Source organism: Homo sapiens, chromosome X, assembly GCF_000001405.40.
Source record: "Homo sapiens chromosome X, GRCh38.p14 Primary Assembly".
Taxonomy (NCBI): Eukaryota; Metazoa; Chordata; class Mammalia; order Primates; family Hominidae; genus Homo; species Homo sapiens.
In genome coordinates this window covers 107,072,122-107,087,971 of record NC_000023.11, presented here as the reverse complement: position 1 = coordinate 107,087,971, position 15,850 = coordinate 107,072,122, and the positions used below count along the sequence as shown (strand labels likewise).

Sequence of the window (15,850 nt, the reverse complement as noted above, 5' to 3'; positions counted from 1 at the left end):
TGACTTAAATTGCTGTTGGCAAAGCAGCAAAGTGAAAAGGTCCTATAAGCTTTAAGAAATTGTCCAACAAGGCCAGGTGTGGTGGCTCATGCCTGTAATCCAAGCACTTTGGGAGGCTGAGGCAGGCGGATCACGAGGTCAGGAGTTCGAGACCAGCCTGACCAACATGGTAAAACCCCATCTCTACTAAAAATACAAAAATTAGCTGGGCGCGGTGGTGTGTGCCTGTAATCCCAGCTTGTGGAGGCTGAGGCAGGAGAATCACTTGAACCCGGGAGGCGGAGGTTGCAGTGAGCCGAGATCATGCCACTGCAAAATCCAGCCTGGGCAACAAACCGAGACTTCGTCTCAAAAAAAATTGTCCAATACGTAACTAAATAACGTTGTAGATAATTCTTATTTTATTGATCAAATCATTATTTCACATTCATGTTATATGTTACATCTGGAATGGAAAACTCTTCATTACTATATTACTCAAAGAGACAACACAAACCCCTGGAGCATATACTTTGTTGTGTCTAATTTAAAAAACAAAACCAAAATTATTATGTTAGTTTTTGACTGTCTCTGAATTAAAAAAAAATCATTCTAGATGAGGGATATTAAAACAGTTTGTTTGACTGATTGAATTTCTAATAGTTCGGGGGTATTTATACTATTAGTTCAAGGGTAGCTTTGTTTTTATTTACTTTTTGTTATGAAATATTAATATACCAAAAGTTATATAGAATAATATAGCAAATACCTGTGTAGCCAGCCAACCTTTATTAATCATTATCAATTCCTAATATTTTCCATATTTGCTTAATTAAAAAAATAATAAAGCATTATAGATATTCCTGAAGACTTCCACATATTCCTCACCAATCCCATTCTCCTTTATCCTTTCCAGATGTAACCACTATCCTGAATTTGCTATTTATAATTCCTGTGCACGTTTTTATATTTTTACTACATAGCCATATATTCACAAATAACATATAGTTTTATATGTTTTAAAACTATATAGATGACATACTCTATCATTCTACAACCTTTTTGACTCAATATGCATAATGCTTTTGAAATTTATTTCTAAAGATACAAGGAACTATATAGTATTCCATTGTAGAAATAGACCATCATTTGTTATATTTATCCACTTTCCTGAAGATTTGTTCTTTCTGTTATTTTGCTATTACAGTTAATTCTGCAACAAGTATTATCATACACCTCTTGTTGCACATATGCCAGACTTTTTCTAGGACAGTGTTTTTCAAACTTAGATTACAATTAGTAGGTTACAACCAATGGGATTTTTTTAATGAAATGGAATAGAATAGAAAATATCAAAAAGTGTTCCCTACAGTATGTTAGGGTAATTACTGTTTCTTAAAGCTTTTTTTTTATATGTGTTTGTGTATATGTGACATAATGTGTGTGGGGCCACATTGAAGAATGCAGTTCTTCGTGTAGATCTCAATCAAAAGTGTTGGGAAGGTGTCATTCTATTACAGTGTCTCAAATGTTAGTGTGCATCTGAATTGCCTGGGGGGCTTGTTAAAACACAGATTGCTAGACTCCACCCCCAGAAATTTTGACTCAGTAGATCTGGAGTGGGGCCTGAGAATTTGCATTTCCAACAAGTTCCCAAGAGATTCTGATCCTGCTGGTCGAGAGTAACAATTTAAGAATCATCATTCTAGGTTATATACCTGGGAGTGGAATTACTGTGATATATAGGGTATGTATATCTCAATTTCTAATGTAACAGGGTTTCAGAGATCCTCTTCACATTCTTGCCAAAACTTTGGAGTATTATTTTGCCAGCCTAATCAGCTTGAAAAGTTATCTCATTGTTTTAATTTGCATGTTTCTGATTTCCAGTGAGGTTATGCATGTATTCTTAACATTTATTGGCCTTTCAGGAACTTTCTGTGAGTTACCTGTTACATTCCTTTGCTGAATATTTAATCGTTTGTTTTTTCATATTTATTTATAGGGATTATTTTAAAATTCTGCATATGAATCCTTTCTGTTGTTTAGCAAATATCTTTGCCCAGTGGATGACTTACCTTTTAACTTTGTTCCTGATGTCTTTTGTTGAGCAAAAGTCTTTCATTTTAATGTTATCAGATTATCGGTATTTTATTCAATGGTTTGTGCTTTTTGAATCATTTTAAGGAGATCCTTCCCTACAAATCAATAAGAAAAATACAAACAACACAATAAAAATAAAAGTGTTTATAAAAACAGACATAACAGGCAGTTCACAGAGGCAAAAACACCAGTGGCCTATAGACTTAAGAAATCTCATTAGTAATCAATAAAATGCAAAATAAATCTATACTATGATATATACATTTAGTACTTAGAATGCTGGCATATATTTAAAGGCCTGACAATGCCAAGTATTGGTGAACATACGAAACAATAAGAACTCTATGTAACCTCAGCACTTTGGGAGGCCGAGGCCAGCAGATCACCTGAGGTCAGGAGTTCGAGACCAGCCTGGCCAATGTGGCAAAACCCCGTCTCTACTAAAAATACTAAAAATTAGCCGAGTTTGATGGCACACACTTGTAATCGCAGCTGCTCAGGAGGCTGAGGCATGAGAATCTCTTGAACCCAGGAGGTGGAGGTTGCAGTGACCCAAGATCATGCCACTGCACTCCAACACTCCAGCCTGGGTGACAGAGCGAGACTCTGTCTCAAAAAAAAAAAAAAAAGAAAAAGAAAAAAAAGAAAAACAATAAGAATTCTAATATACCTCCAGGGGAATATAAATGAATACAACCACTTCCAAGAACATTATGGCAATGTCTAGTAAAATTGAAGATCTTCATACACTGTAAGTCAGCAGTCTCACTCTTCATTATCTATCCTAGAGAAACCCTTAGACATCCACATTAGGAGATGTTATAATGATGCTTGTTGTGGCATTGTTCATCAGCAGGAGTATAGATAAAACATGGTATGTTTATAAAATAGAATACTACACAGTAGAGAAAATGAATAAAATAGAATTATAGGTATCAATTTGGATGAAACTCACAAACATAATTTTGAACAAAAATAGCTAGTTGCAGATTTCTAGTTTCAGCTTCAACATGTGAAGTCCTTAGAAGTCATCACTCCTGTCTTACAATAAGAAAAACAGTTGAGCAAACTAAAAATCAATGACTTTTCTTAGACACAACAGAAAATTTAAGTCACAGGGCAAACTGTAATCTTGAAATCTGAAGAAACGGGCAGTTACAGAAAATCACATCCCAGATTTGCTTATCAGGAGCAAAACGCACTGGAGCCATAAACTGGTAGAAACACTTAGGTGGTAACTTTGACAAATTGCTGGCGTCAGAGTGTAGACTAGTGTAGGAATGACAAAACTGGGGGCCCACAGTCTTAGAGGTTTTGATTGCTTCCAGGAACCCCACAAGTTTCAAGGTAAAGACCGAAGAAAAAAAAATCTCTTGTTTCTGGCATGGAGAGAGGAAACATCATTTTTAAGTGTATCTAGAACTTTCTACTTAGTAAAGGGCTACCCAGCAAGGAAAACAACTTTACCAAAGCCTTATCCAACTCCAGGCTCTTCTAGCCTTCCTGTCTCATCTAAGAGAGAAAAAAAGCTGTGAAGTGCTTGTGAAGGTTACAGGCTGGAGACACAGGCACACTAAAAGATTGAGACTTCATCATAGGATTAGAGAATGCCTCCCCTTCCACACCTTGCTACTACATCAACAGAGCTTCAGTATAATAATCGTGGATTATAGCTGAAAGACCTGCAAGGATCAGACTCTATTTAAGGAGGTTTTTTTGTTGCTGTTTTGTTTTGATTTGTTTTTTTTTTTTTTTGTAAATCCAAAGGAAACAAGGGAGACAAAAAGACAGTAGAAGAAACAGAAACTTCTGACACCTACAGCTACATCAAACATTAAGCACAGCCCAACTCCTGGCCAGATTAACATAAAACCTCATACTAATGGTCTCTTTGGATTAGTTCCTATTACTTGATAGATCATGTCCAGTTTTCAACAAAAGAAATTATAACGTATGCTAAAAAAAAAAAAAACACACATTCTGAAGAGGCAAAACAAGCGTGAGAACCAAATTCAGGTTTTGGAATTATCAGATATGGAATTTAAAATAACCACGATTAATATACTAAGTAGGCTATGAATAAAAGTAGATAACATGCAAGACCAGATGGCTAATCTAAACAGAGAGAAACTCTAAGAAAGAATCAAAAGGAGTTGCTAGAAATCAAAAACACTGTAACAAATGAAGAATGCCTTTGATAGGCTCATCAGTAAGTTGGAAACAGCCAAGGAAGGAATCAGTAAGGTTGAAGACATGGCAATAAAAACTTCCCATGCTGAAATACAAAGGAAAAAAAGACTGAAAAAAAGGAACAGAATATCCAAGAACTATGGGACGATTTCAGAGTATAACATACATGTTATTGGAATACCAAAAGGAGAAGAGAAAAAGAAGGAGAAGAAATATTTGAAGTAGTAATGGATGAGAATTTTCCAAAATTAATAGCAGATAACAAACTACAGATCTGGGAAGCTCCAAGAACACCAAGCAGGATAAATACCAGAACTACACCTAAGCGTATCATGTTCAAACTACAGAAAGACAAAGAAAAGATTTTAAAAACAGCCAGAGAAAATAAACACTTTACCTATATAGAAACAAAGGTAAGAATTACATTTCTCATCAGCAACTGTGCAAGAGAGTAGTGTGAAATATTTGTGTCAAAAGTAAAAAGAAAACACCCACTTAGAATAATTTATCCAGCAAAAAAAAAAAAATCCTTCAAAAGTGAAGGAAAAATAATAAAGACTTTCTCAGACAAACAAAACTGAGGGAATTTTTTCACCAGTAAATCCCACCTTGTAGGGAAAAAAAAAAATGCTTTCAAAAAAAGTTCTCCAGAGATAAGCAAAATTATATAGGTCAGAAACTCAGATCTGCATAAAGAAAGAAAGAGCGTAGGAGAATGCATTAAGGTAAAATGAAATCTTTTATTTTCTCATTTTAAAACAATCTAGAATAAAACTTTTCAAATTAATAATAGGAATGTGTTGGATAATGATAGTATATGGATAAGTGAAATGAGTAACAGTGATATTATAAGGAATAGGTTGCAGGAATTAGTGTATATATATAAATACAAATTTGTCTTTGTTATAAGGTATTTGCACTATCCATAAAGTGGTATAGTTTTATCTGAGAGTGGACTTAGATCAGTTGTAAATGTATATTGCAAACTCTAAGGCAATTACTAAAAAAAAATTATATAAAGAAGTACAACTGATATGGCTAAGAGAAGGGTGAAAATGGAAGCATATAAAATAATACTCATTTTTTACAGTCTTTTTTCAGAAAACGGAAGCAGAGGGAACACTTCTTAACTCATGAGACCAGCCTTAGCTTAGTACCAAAACCAGATAAAGACATTACAATGACAAAAAACTACAGACAGTATCCCTCGTGTATAGAAGCAAAAATCCTCTATGTTAGGAAAATCAAAACATTTGATTGAAATATTGATTGAGAAATCAAAATGTTAGGTAATCAAATTCAATAATGTATAAAAATAATTATATACTATGATCAAGTATGATTTATTCCAGATATCCACCATAGGTTCAACATTTGAAATTCAATTAATATAATCTGCCACATCAATAGACTAAAGAAGTAAAATCATATGGTCACTTCAATTGATGTAGAAAAACATTTGAAATATCTTAACATCGATTCATGATAAAAACTCTCAGCAAACTAGGAATAGACTATAACATCCTTAACTTGATAAAGAATATCTGCAACACCCTACAGCTAACATTATACTTAACAGAAACTGGATGCTTTCCCCTTTGATGAGAAATAAGGCAAAAATGTCCCCTTTCCCCACTTCTTTTTGACACTGTACTAGAAGTACCAGCTACAGCAATAAAACAAGTGAAGGAAATTAAAAGTATACAGATTGGGAAGGAAAAAATAAAACTCTCTTTGTTCACAAGTAACACGTATGTCTGTGTAGAAAATCCCAAAGAATCAGCCAAAAAACAAACTAACAAACAACTCTTGGGACTAGTAGATTAGTATAGCTTGGAGGTTACAAGGTTTATCCACAAAAGTCAATTGCTTTCCTCTATACCAGAAATGAACAATTGGAATTTGAAATTAAAAACAACACCATTTACAATAGCACCAAAAAAGAATGAAATACTTAGGTATAAATTTAACAAAGTATGTACAGGTTCTATATGCACAAAAGTGTAAAACTGATGAAAAATTAAATAAGATCTAAATAAACACAGAGACATTTTGTGTTCTTGGATTGAAAGACTTAATATTGTTAAGATATCAGTTCTTCTCAAATTGATTTGTAGATTCCACACAATCCCAATGAAATCCCAGAATGTTATTTTGTGGATATTTAGGAACTTAATCTAAGTTTATATGAAAAGACAAAAGACCCAGAACATGTAACACACTCCTGAAGAAGAACAAATTTGAAGGACTGACACTACCCAACTTCAAGAGTTACTATAATCAAGTAGCATGGTGTGGTGTTGCTGAGGGAAAAGAAGACATACAGATCAATGGAGTAGAATAGAGACCCAAGGATTAGACCCACATAAATACAGTAAATTGATACTTGACAAGGGATCAAGGACAGTTTAGTAGAGAAAGAATAGTCTTTTCAACAAATGGTGCTAGAACAACTGAATAGCCACATGTAAAAAAAAAATGAATCTAGATACAAACCTTACATCCTTCATAAAAATTAACTCGTAATGGTCATAGACCTAAATATAAAGCACAATACGATAAAACTTCTAGAAGAAAAAGATTAAAATCTAAGTGACCTTGTGTTTGATGATGTATTTATCAGATATATCACCAAAAGTACAATATATGTAAGGAACAATTGGTAAGTCAGACTTTATTAACATTATAAACTTCTGCTATATGAAAAACACTTTTAAGAGAATCAAAAGACAAGCCACAGACTAGAAAAATATTTGCAAAACTCACGTCTAATAAAAAACTTGTATCCAAAATACACAAAGAATTCCCAAAATTCAACAGTATTAAAAAACTCAATTTAAAAAATGGGTAAAAAATAAGAACAAACACGTCACCACAGAAGATATATACATGGCAAATAAGCATACGAAAAGAAGCTCATCTTTATTTGTCATCAGAGAATTGAAAAATGAGAAGTGCCACTACACACCTACTCGAATCGCTAAAGTCCACAATAAAACTGACAATACCAAATTCTGTTCAGGAAGCAGAGCAACAGGTACTTTTTTAAAAATTATAGATGTAGAAGATACAAGTGCAGTTTTGTTTTGTTTTGTTTTGTTTTGTTTTGTTTCGTGTTTTGAGGCAGAGTCTCGCTCTCTGTCACCCAGACTGGAGTGCAGTGGTGCAGTCTCAGCTCACTGCAACCTCTGCCTCCCTGGTTCAAGCAATTCTCCTACTTCAACTTCCCAAGTAGCTGGGACTACAGGTGCGAGCCACCACGCCCAGCTAGTTTTGTATTTTTAGTAGAGATGGGGTTTCGCCATATTGGCCAGGCTGGTCTCAAACTCCTGACCTCAAGTGATTTGCTTGCCTCGGCCTCCCATAGTGCTGGGATTACAGGCATGAGCTACCATGCCCGGCTGCAGTTTTTTTTTTTTTTATGGATATATTTCACAGTCATGAAGTCTGGGACTTTTATTCATTGCTGGTGGTAATACAACCTCTTTGGAAGACAGGTTGGCCACCTCTTACAAAGCTGAACATTATTTTACCACACAGTCCAACTACTGCATTCCTACTTATTTACCCAGTTGATTTGAAAAGCCTGTGTTCAACAAAAAGTGCCATGTGAATGTTCATAGTAGCTTTATTCATAATTGCCAAAAACCGGAAGCAGTCAAGATGTCCTCCAATAGGTTAATGGATACATTCACCTGTGGCAGATCTATACAATGGAATATAATTCAGCAATAAAAAGAAATGCATGTCCAGCCACAAAAAGACATAGAGGAACTTTAGATATATATTAATAGCTGAAAGAAGCTAGTATGGAAAGACTGCATATTGTATGATTTCATTATATGACATTCTGGAAGAGGGAAAACTATAGACAGATGATAAATGACTGCCAAGGGTTTGAGGGAAATGGAGAAGGGAGAAATACATGAAACACAGGGAATCTTTAGGGCGGTAAAATTATTCTGTATAATACTGTAGTTGTAGAGGCAAGACATGCATTTGTCAAAAACCATTAAACTACATAGCACAAAGAGTGACACTTAATGTATGCAAATGTTAAAAACTCATTTAGGAGGTTGAGAGACCCTAGGAAAGAATGCAGACAGTGAGAAGAGAGTCTAACTGTAAAACAACCTCATCGAAGGGATGGGGGAAAAGATGCTGAACTAAGCATCTTTGGAAATATGTGGAGTCTGAAAGACTAAAAGCAAATGGAACTTCACATAAGCACGGTACCCTTATTGATAAGGTTATTTCCCATGGCAGGTACTGGTTACTTAGGGAGTAACAATTCTGATACTCTTATACATGCATAATGGAATGGAACAATTAAGTAAATGTATGGCAGATGGCGGGGGCCAGGTTTCTCACTGTTGCAATCTACAGATAAGTAAAGGGAGGAAGCTGAAATGATCCATGTGATAATGGTTTACAGTTGGAGACATCAGGATGAACTCATGTTTAACTTAATATAGATATAAGTGTTTACATATAGAAATATTTATATGTGTTTATATATACATGGATTAGTATAAATACATATTTTTTATTCTGTGAGATGAAAGGACCCAAATGAAAGGACACACCAGTAGCAATGAGCTTGCACAGCATCCTTATCTTGGTTTCTAATACCATTTTCTAATAAAATGAACCAGGGCTCCTTAGAGAAATGGCTGCTTCTAATACTGGGGCAGGAAATATACAAGATGAGCCTTGTGCATCTTGTAGTGCCAGAAAGTAAGGAAGTGCTAAAAAGAACAATATAAAATCATTATTTTATTGTTCTTTGACATGATGATTTTATGTTTTTTTTTTTGACATTCGGGGTATTTCAAAGGAATACAGGAGCCAAATGAAAGAGCTTCCTATGACTAAAGCCAGAACAATTTGTGCAACAAACTAAATAAAATAAAATAAATCATTATCTTAAATCATTTTATTGTTCTTCGACATGATGATTTTATGTTTTTTGACATTGGGGATATTTCAAAGGAATACAGGAGCCAAATGAAAGAGCTTTCAATGACTAAAGCCAGAACAACTTGTGCAACAAACTAAGATAAAATAAATCATTATCTTAAAATCATTATTTTATTGTTCTTTGACATGATTTTATGTTGTTTTTTGACATTGGTATTGCAAAGGAATACAGGAGCCAAATGAAAGAGCTTCCAATGACTATAGCTGGAACAATTTGTGCAACAAACTAAAATAATGTTGGATAATCCAATGTATAGAATAAACATCCATGAGTCCAGGTGATATAAATAAGTGATTGAGTAAACAAATATATAGAGGAAAAGAAATATACACCTCCCATGAAAAAGAATTTCATACAACTTATGTAGATACTCTGCCTCAGGGAGGGAGAGCATAACTCCCCATTCCTTAGTTTTGAGCTGCTCATAATGACTTCTTTCCAAAAGAGTACAGGAAGAGAAAGCAGGAAAAAAGAGTAACTTTTCAAGAAGAAACCTGACAAACTACCTAAGCCAGGTGATTAAGGCCAACACCAATAGTTGTTAATCATATTGATGAATCATATTGATTGTGTGTATGCTTAACATTATGTGATCAAAACTGTACTTCTCCTGTGTGGTTTTCTTCCCAATAATCCATAATCCCAGTCTAAATGTAATGTAACCTAGATCCTAGAACAGAAAAAGGACATTAGGTAAAAACTAAGGAAATCTAAACTGTGGACTTTAGTTAATAATAATGTATCAATACTGCTTCATTAATTGTAACAACATATTAATGTGAGGTTACATTACATTACATTAATGTAAGATATTAATAACAGGGAAAACCATGGGGTAGATGGGAGTTCTCTGTATTCTCAATTTTTCTATAAATCCAAAACTGTTCTAAAATTAAAATCCATTTTTAAAGAGTTTTTAAAAATGTAGCTGTAGAAGAATGCATATTGTTTATATAAAGGGCTATATTACATGAAGTTGAAAACATGTAAAATAATACCGTGTATTGCATAGGGATACCAGGAAGAGCTTTATGCTGTATTATGACTTGGAGGCACTGTTTTTCTTTTTCACAGCTTTGTTTATCTTGTTTTTGAACCTAGCTTTATCTGTGTGTGTGTGTGTGTGTGTGTGTGTGTGTGTGTGTTATGTATGTTGTGGATACATTCATACATACATACAAGTCTGCACTTACGTGTGTATATATGCAGAGGGGATGTATCCCAGCATCCCCTGACAGAGCCACCTCAACCAGAAGTCCTCTTTATTTTTAAAAATTATTCATATTGGCCAGGTGCGGTGGCTCACGTCTGTAATCCCAGCACTTTGGGAGGCCGAGGCGGGTGGATCACCTGAGGTCAGGAATTCGAGACCAGCCTGGCTAACATGGTGAAACCCCATTTCTACTAAAAATATAAAAAATTAGCTGGGCGTGGTGGCATGCACCTGCAATCCCAGCTACTGGGGAGGCTGTGGCAGGAGAATCGCTTGAACCTGGGAGGTGGTGGTTGCAGTGAGCCGAGATCACACCATTGCACTCCAGCTTGGGCAACAAGAGCGAAACTCTGTCTCAAAAAAATTCATATCAAAGGGAACAGTCTTAGTATGGGTCTTCCCTAATGGATGAGAAACTCGAAGTTTGTTTTCACATACCCCTTTCTATGGTTATTTAATTTGATATTTTCATGATTAGTATTTGAGAGCATAGGCAAGTCAATTATTCCATGCCCTTGCCTTTAAGATATGAACATACATAAATGCTAAATATGTTAATATCCAGGTTTTAAAGATTTTGAAACTTAAAGATTCTACTACTTGTTAACAATATTTATTTATTTATACCTTTTAGCACTTAAGTCATTTAAGAGGTATATTTGCTTGTTCTTTGCTTTTGCTGCTCCTGCCTGAATTCTTCCATAGTTCCTTTAAGCTATAAAGGATATAACTAATGCTAGGTAATGTATGAGATTTTTTTCCTCCTCCATTTTTTTAAATTGTGTTTTAAAAACACAAGATCTATCCTCTTAACAAATTTTTAAGTGTACAATACAATATTGTGAATAATAAGCACAATGTTGTACAGCAAACCTATAGAACTTTTCTATCTTGCATGACTGAAACTTTATACCTGTCGAACAGCAACTCCCCATTTCCTCCTTCCCCCAGCCCTGGTGACTACCATTCTACTTTCTGTTTTACTACTTTAGATACTTCAGTAAGTGGAATCATGCAATATTTGTCCTGCAACTGGCTTATTTCACTTAGCCTATAGTCCTCGAGTTTCATTCATGTTACAGCATAATGACATATAAGATTTCCTGCTTTTTTAAGGCTAAATAATATTCCATTGTATTTTATTTATTTATTTATTTATTTATTTATTTATTTATTTATTTATTTATTTGAGACGGAGTCTGGCACTGTCGTCTGAGCTGGAATACAGTGGTGCGATCTCGGTTCACTACAACCTCTACCTCCCAGGTTCAAGTAATTCTCCTGTCACAGCCTCCCATGTAGCTGGGATTACAGGCACCCACCAACGCACCCAGCTAATTTTTTGCATTTTTAGTAGAGATGGGGTTTCACTATGTTGGCCAGGCTGGTCTCAAACTCCTGACCTCATGATCTGCCTGCTTCAGCCTCCCAAAATGCTGAGATTACAGGCGTGAGCCACCACACCCAGCCCCCATTGTATTTATATGCCACATATTCTTTATCTATTCATCAGTCAGTGGACACTTAGGTTTTTCCACCTGTTGACTATTGTGAGTATTGCCGGGATGAACATAGGAATGCATATATCTCTTTGAGATGCTGATTTCAGCTCTTTTGGATAAATACCCAGAAATGGGATTGTTGGATTGTATGGTAGTTCTAATTTTAATTTTCGGAGGAACTTCCACACTGTACTTCATAGCAGCTGTACCACTTTACATTCCCATCAACAGTGCACAAGGGTTCCAACTTCTTCATATCCTTGCCAACATTTGTAATTTTCTGTTTTTTTTGATAATGGCCATTGTAACAGGTATGTGGTATCTCATTGTGTTTTTCATTTGCGTTTCTCTGTTGATAGTAATATTGAGCATCTTTTCATATACCTGTTGGCTATTTATATCTCTTTGGAGAAATGTCTGTTTAAGTCTTTTGCCCATATTTTAATGAGGTTGTTTTCTTGCCATCAAGTTGTAGAGTTCCTTATATATTTTAGATATTAAATATGGTTTGCAAATATTTTCTGTTACTCCATAGGTTGCCTTTTCACTCTATTGTTTCCTTTGCTGTGCAGGGCTTTTTAGTTTGATGCAGTCCCACTTATCTATTTCTGCTTTTGTTGCATGTGGTTTTGGTGTCATAGCAAAGAAATCATTGCCAAGACTAATGTGAAGAAGGTTTTCCTCTATGTTTTCTTCTAGGAGTTTTACAGTCTCAGGTCGTATATTTAAATCTTTAATCCATTTTGAATTGACTTGTGTGTATGGCGTAAGATAAGGGTCCAATTTCATTATTTAGCATGTGGCTGTCTTGTCTTCTCAACATTTTGTTAAAGAGACTATCTTTTTCTCATGTTATATTCTTGGGACACTTGTAGAAGATCAGTTGACTGTAGCTTCATGGGTTTATTTCTAGACTCTCAAATTGGTTCCATTGGCCTATGTGTCCAGTTTTATGCCAGTACCATACTGTTTTGATTACTGTAGCTTTGTAATATGTTGTGAAATAAGAAAGTGTATGGCCTCTAGCTTTGTTCTTTCCCAAGATTGTTGTGGGTACTTGGTATCATCTGTGGTTCTATATGAATTTGGGGATTGTTTTTTCTATTTCTGTAAAAAATGCCATTGGGACTTTGATAGAGATTGCATTGAATCTGTAGACCGCTTTGGATAGTTCGGATATATTAATATTAAGTCTTCTAATCCATGAACACAGGATACCTTTTCATTTATTTGTGTCTTCTTTAATTTCTTTCAGCAACATTTGTAGTTTTCAGTGTACAAGTCTTTCACCTCCTTGGTTAAGTTCTTTCTTCAGTATTTTATTCTTTTCAATACCGTTGTAAATGGGATACCTTTCTTAATTTCCTCTTCATATTGTTCATTGGTAGTGTATAGAAACCACAACTGAATTTTTCTATGTTGATTTTTTATTCTGCAACTTCACTGAATTTGTTAATTAGTTCTAACTTTTTTGGTTTAATTTTTTTCTATTATTTCCATTAATATAGTCATAATTTCATGCCAATAATAAAATGGTATAATTAAAACAGAAAAGTGATGTTCTCAAGAGGTCTTCCATGAAAGCTATTTGAACTGTGGGCCAAATAAACATGGTACCACCATTCACCAGGTAGCAGCTTGTCTCAGCTGCAAAGTACCCAAGGGAGAAAAATCGATGTCTTGATTGCTGCACTTGTGAACCTTGATTTATTATTTTATTTATTTTCTTTTTAAAGTTTTTTAATTGACATATAATAAATTATACATATTTATGGGGTACATACTGATGTTTCGATACATATAATATATAGTGAACAGATCAAGGTAATTAGCTTATCTACTATCTTAAGTATTTATCATTTCTTCATGTTGGGATAATTCAATATCCTTCTTCTAGCTATTTGATACTATATAATATATTATTGTTAACTATAACCATTCTACAATGGTATAGAACACTAGCACCTATTCCTCTTATCAAACTGTAATTTTACATCTTTAACAAGTCTCTCCCTATCCTTTCCTTCCTCCTACCCTTCACAGCCTCTAGTATCCTCTGTTCTACTTTTTACTTCTATGAAATCAATTCTTTTTAGCTCCCACATATAAGTAAAAACCTGCAGTGTTTAACTTTCTGTGCCTGGTTTATTTCACTAAACATAATATTCTCTAGTTCCATCCACATTGCTCTGAATAACAGGATTTCAATATTTTTATGGCTGAATAGTATTCCACTGTGTATATATACCACATCGTTGGGCACCTAGGTTAACTTCATATCTTGGCTGTTGTGAATAGTGCTGCAATAAATATGAGAATGCCATTGTCTTTTCAATATACTGATTTCCTTTCCTTTGGATAAATTCTCAGTAGTGGGATTGCTGGATCGTATGGTAGTTCTATTTGTAGTTTGTTGAGGAACCTCCGTACTGTTTCCCATAGTGGCTGTAAAAGTTTACAGTCCCACCAACAGTCTGTAATAATTTGCTTTTCTCCACATCCTCACCAGCATTTGTTAACTTTTGTCTTTCCAGTAGTAGCCATCCTAACTGGAATGAGATGATGCCTCATTGTGGTTTTGATTTGCATTTTCCTGATGATTAGTGATGTTGAGTATTTTTTCATATATTTGTTGGCAATTTGTATGTCTTCTTTAGAGAAATAGCTGTTTAGATCATTTGCCCATTTTTAAATCAGGTTGTTTGTTTTGATGCTGTTAAGATGTTGAATTCCTTGTATAGTCTGGATATTAATCCCCTGTTGGGTGAGTAGTTTGCAAATATTTTCTCCCATTCTGTAGTTCGTCTTTTCACTCTGTTGTTTCCTTTGATGTGCAGAAGATTTTAGTTTAATATAATCCCGTTTGTTTATTTTTGCTTTCGTTGCCTGTGCTTTTGAGGTCTTATTCATGAAATCTTTTCCCAGACCAGTGTCCTGAAATGTTTCCCCTATGTTTTTTCCTAGTAGTTTTTTAGTTTCCGGTCTTACGTTTAGGTCTTTGATCTGTTTTGAGTTGATTTTTGTATAGGATGAGAGATGGGGGTCTGGTTTCATTCTTCATGCATATAGGTATCCAGTTTTCTCAGCACCACTTATTGACGAGACTGTCTTTTCCCAACTGATGTTCTTGGTGTCTTTATTAAAATATTAGTTGGCTGTAGATACATGGGTCAGTTTCTGAGTTCCCTATTCTGTTCCACAGTTACATGTGTCTCTTTTTATGTCAGTACCATGCTGTTTTGGTTACTACAGTTTTGTAGTACATTTTGAAGTCTGGTAGTGCAGTTCCTCCAGCTTTGTTATTTTTGTTCAGGATTGCTGTGGCTTCAGAGTCTTTTGTGGTTTCATAAAAATTTTAAGATTTTTTTTCTTTTTCTATGAAGAGTGTCATTGGTATTTTGATAGGGATTGCATTAATTCTGTAGGTTGCTTTGGATAGTATGGTCATTTTAACAATGTTCTTTCAGTCCATGAGCATGGAATATCTTTCTGTTTGTATCCTCTAAACTTTTCTTTCATCAGTGTTTTGTAGTTTTTCTTGTAGAGGCCTTTTACCTCCTTGGTTAATTTATTTCTAGGTATTTTATTTTGCTTTTTGTAGCTATTGTAAATGAGATTGCTTTCTTGATTTCTTTTTCAGCTAGTTTGCTGTTCGTGTGTAGAAACGCTACTGATTTTTGTGTGTTGATTTTGTATCCTGCAACTGTATGGAATTTGTGTATCTGTTCTAAGGGCTTTTTGGTAGACTCTTTCAGGTTTTTTTTTAGGTTTTTCTCTATATAAGATCATGTTGTCTGCAAACAGGGACAATTTGACTTCCTCCTTTTTGCTTTGGATGCCTTTTATGTCTTTCCTTTGTCTAATTGCTCTGGCTAAGACTTT

General features: G+C 34.7%; 1 protein-coding gene across 30 annotated transcripts in view; it reads left to right on the top strand.

Moving 5' to 3' along the window:
- Nucleotides 1–15,850, top strand: part of RBM41 (RNA binding motif protein 41) — a 66,721-nt gene that overhangs the window by 30,851 nt on the left and 20,020 nt on the right. The window lies entirely within an intron of this gene.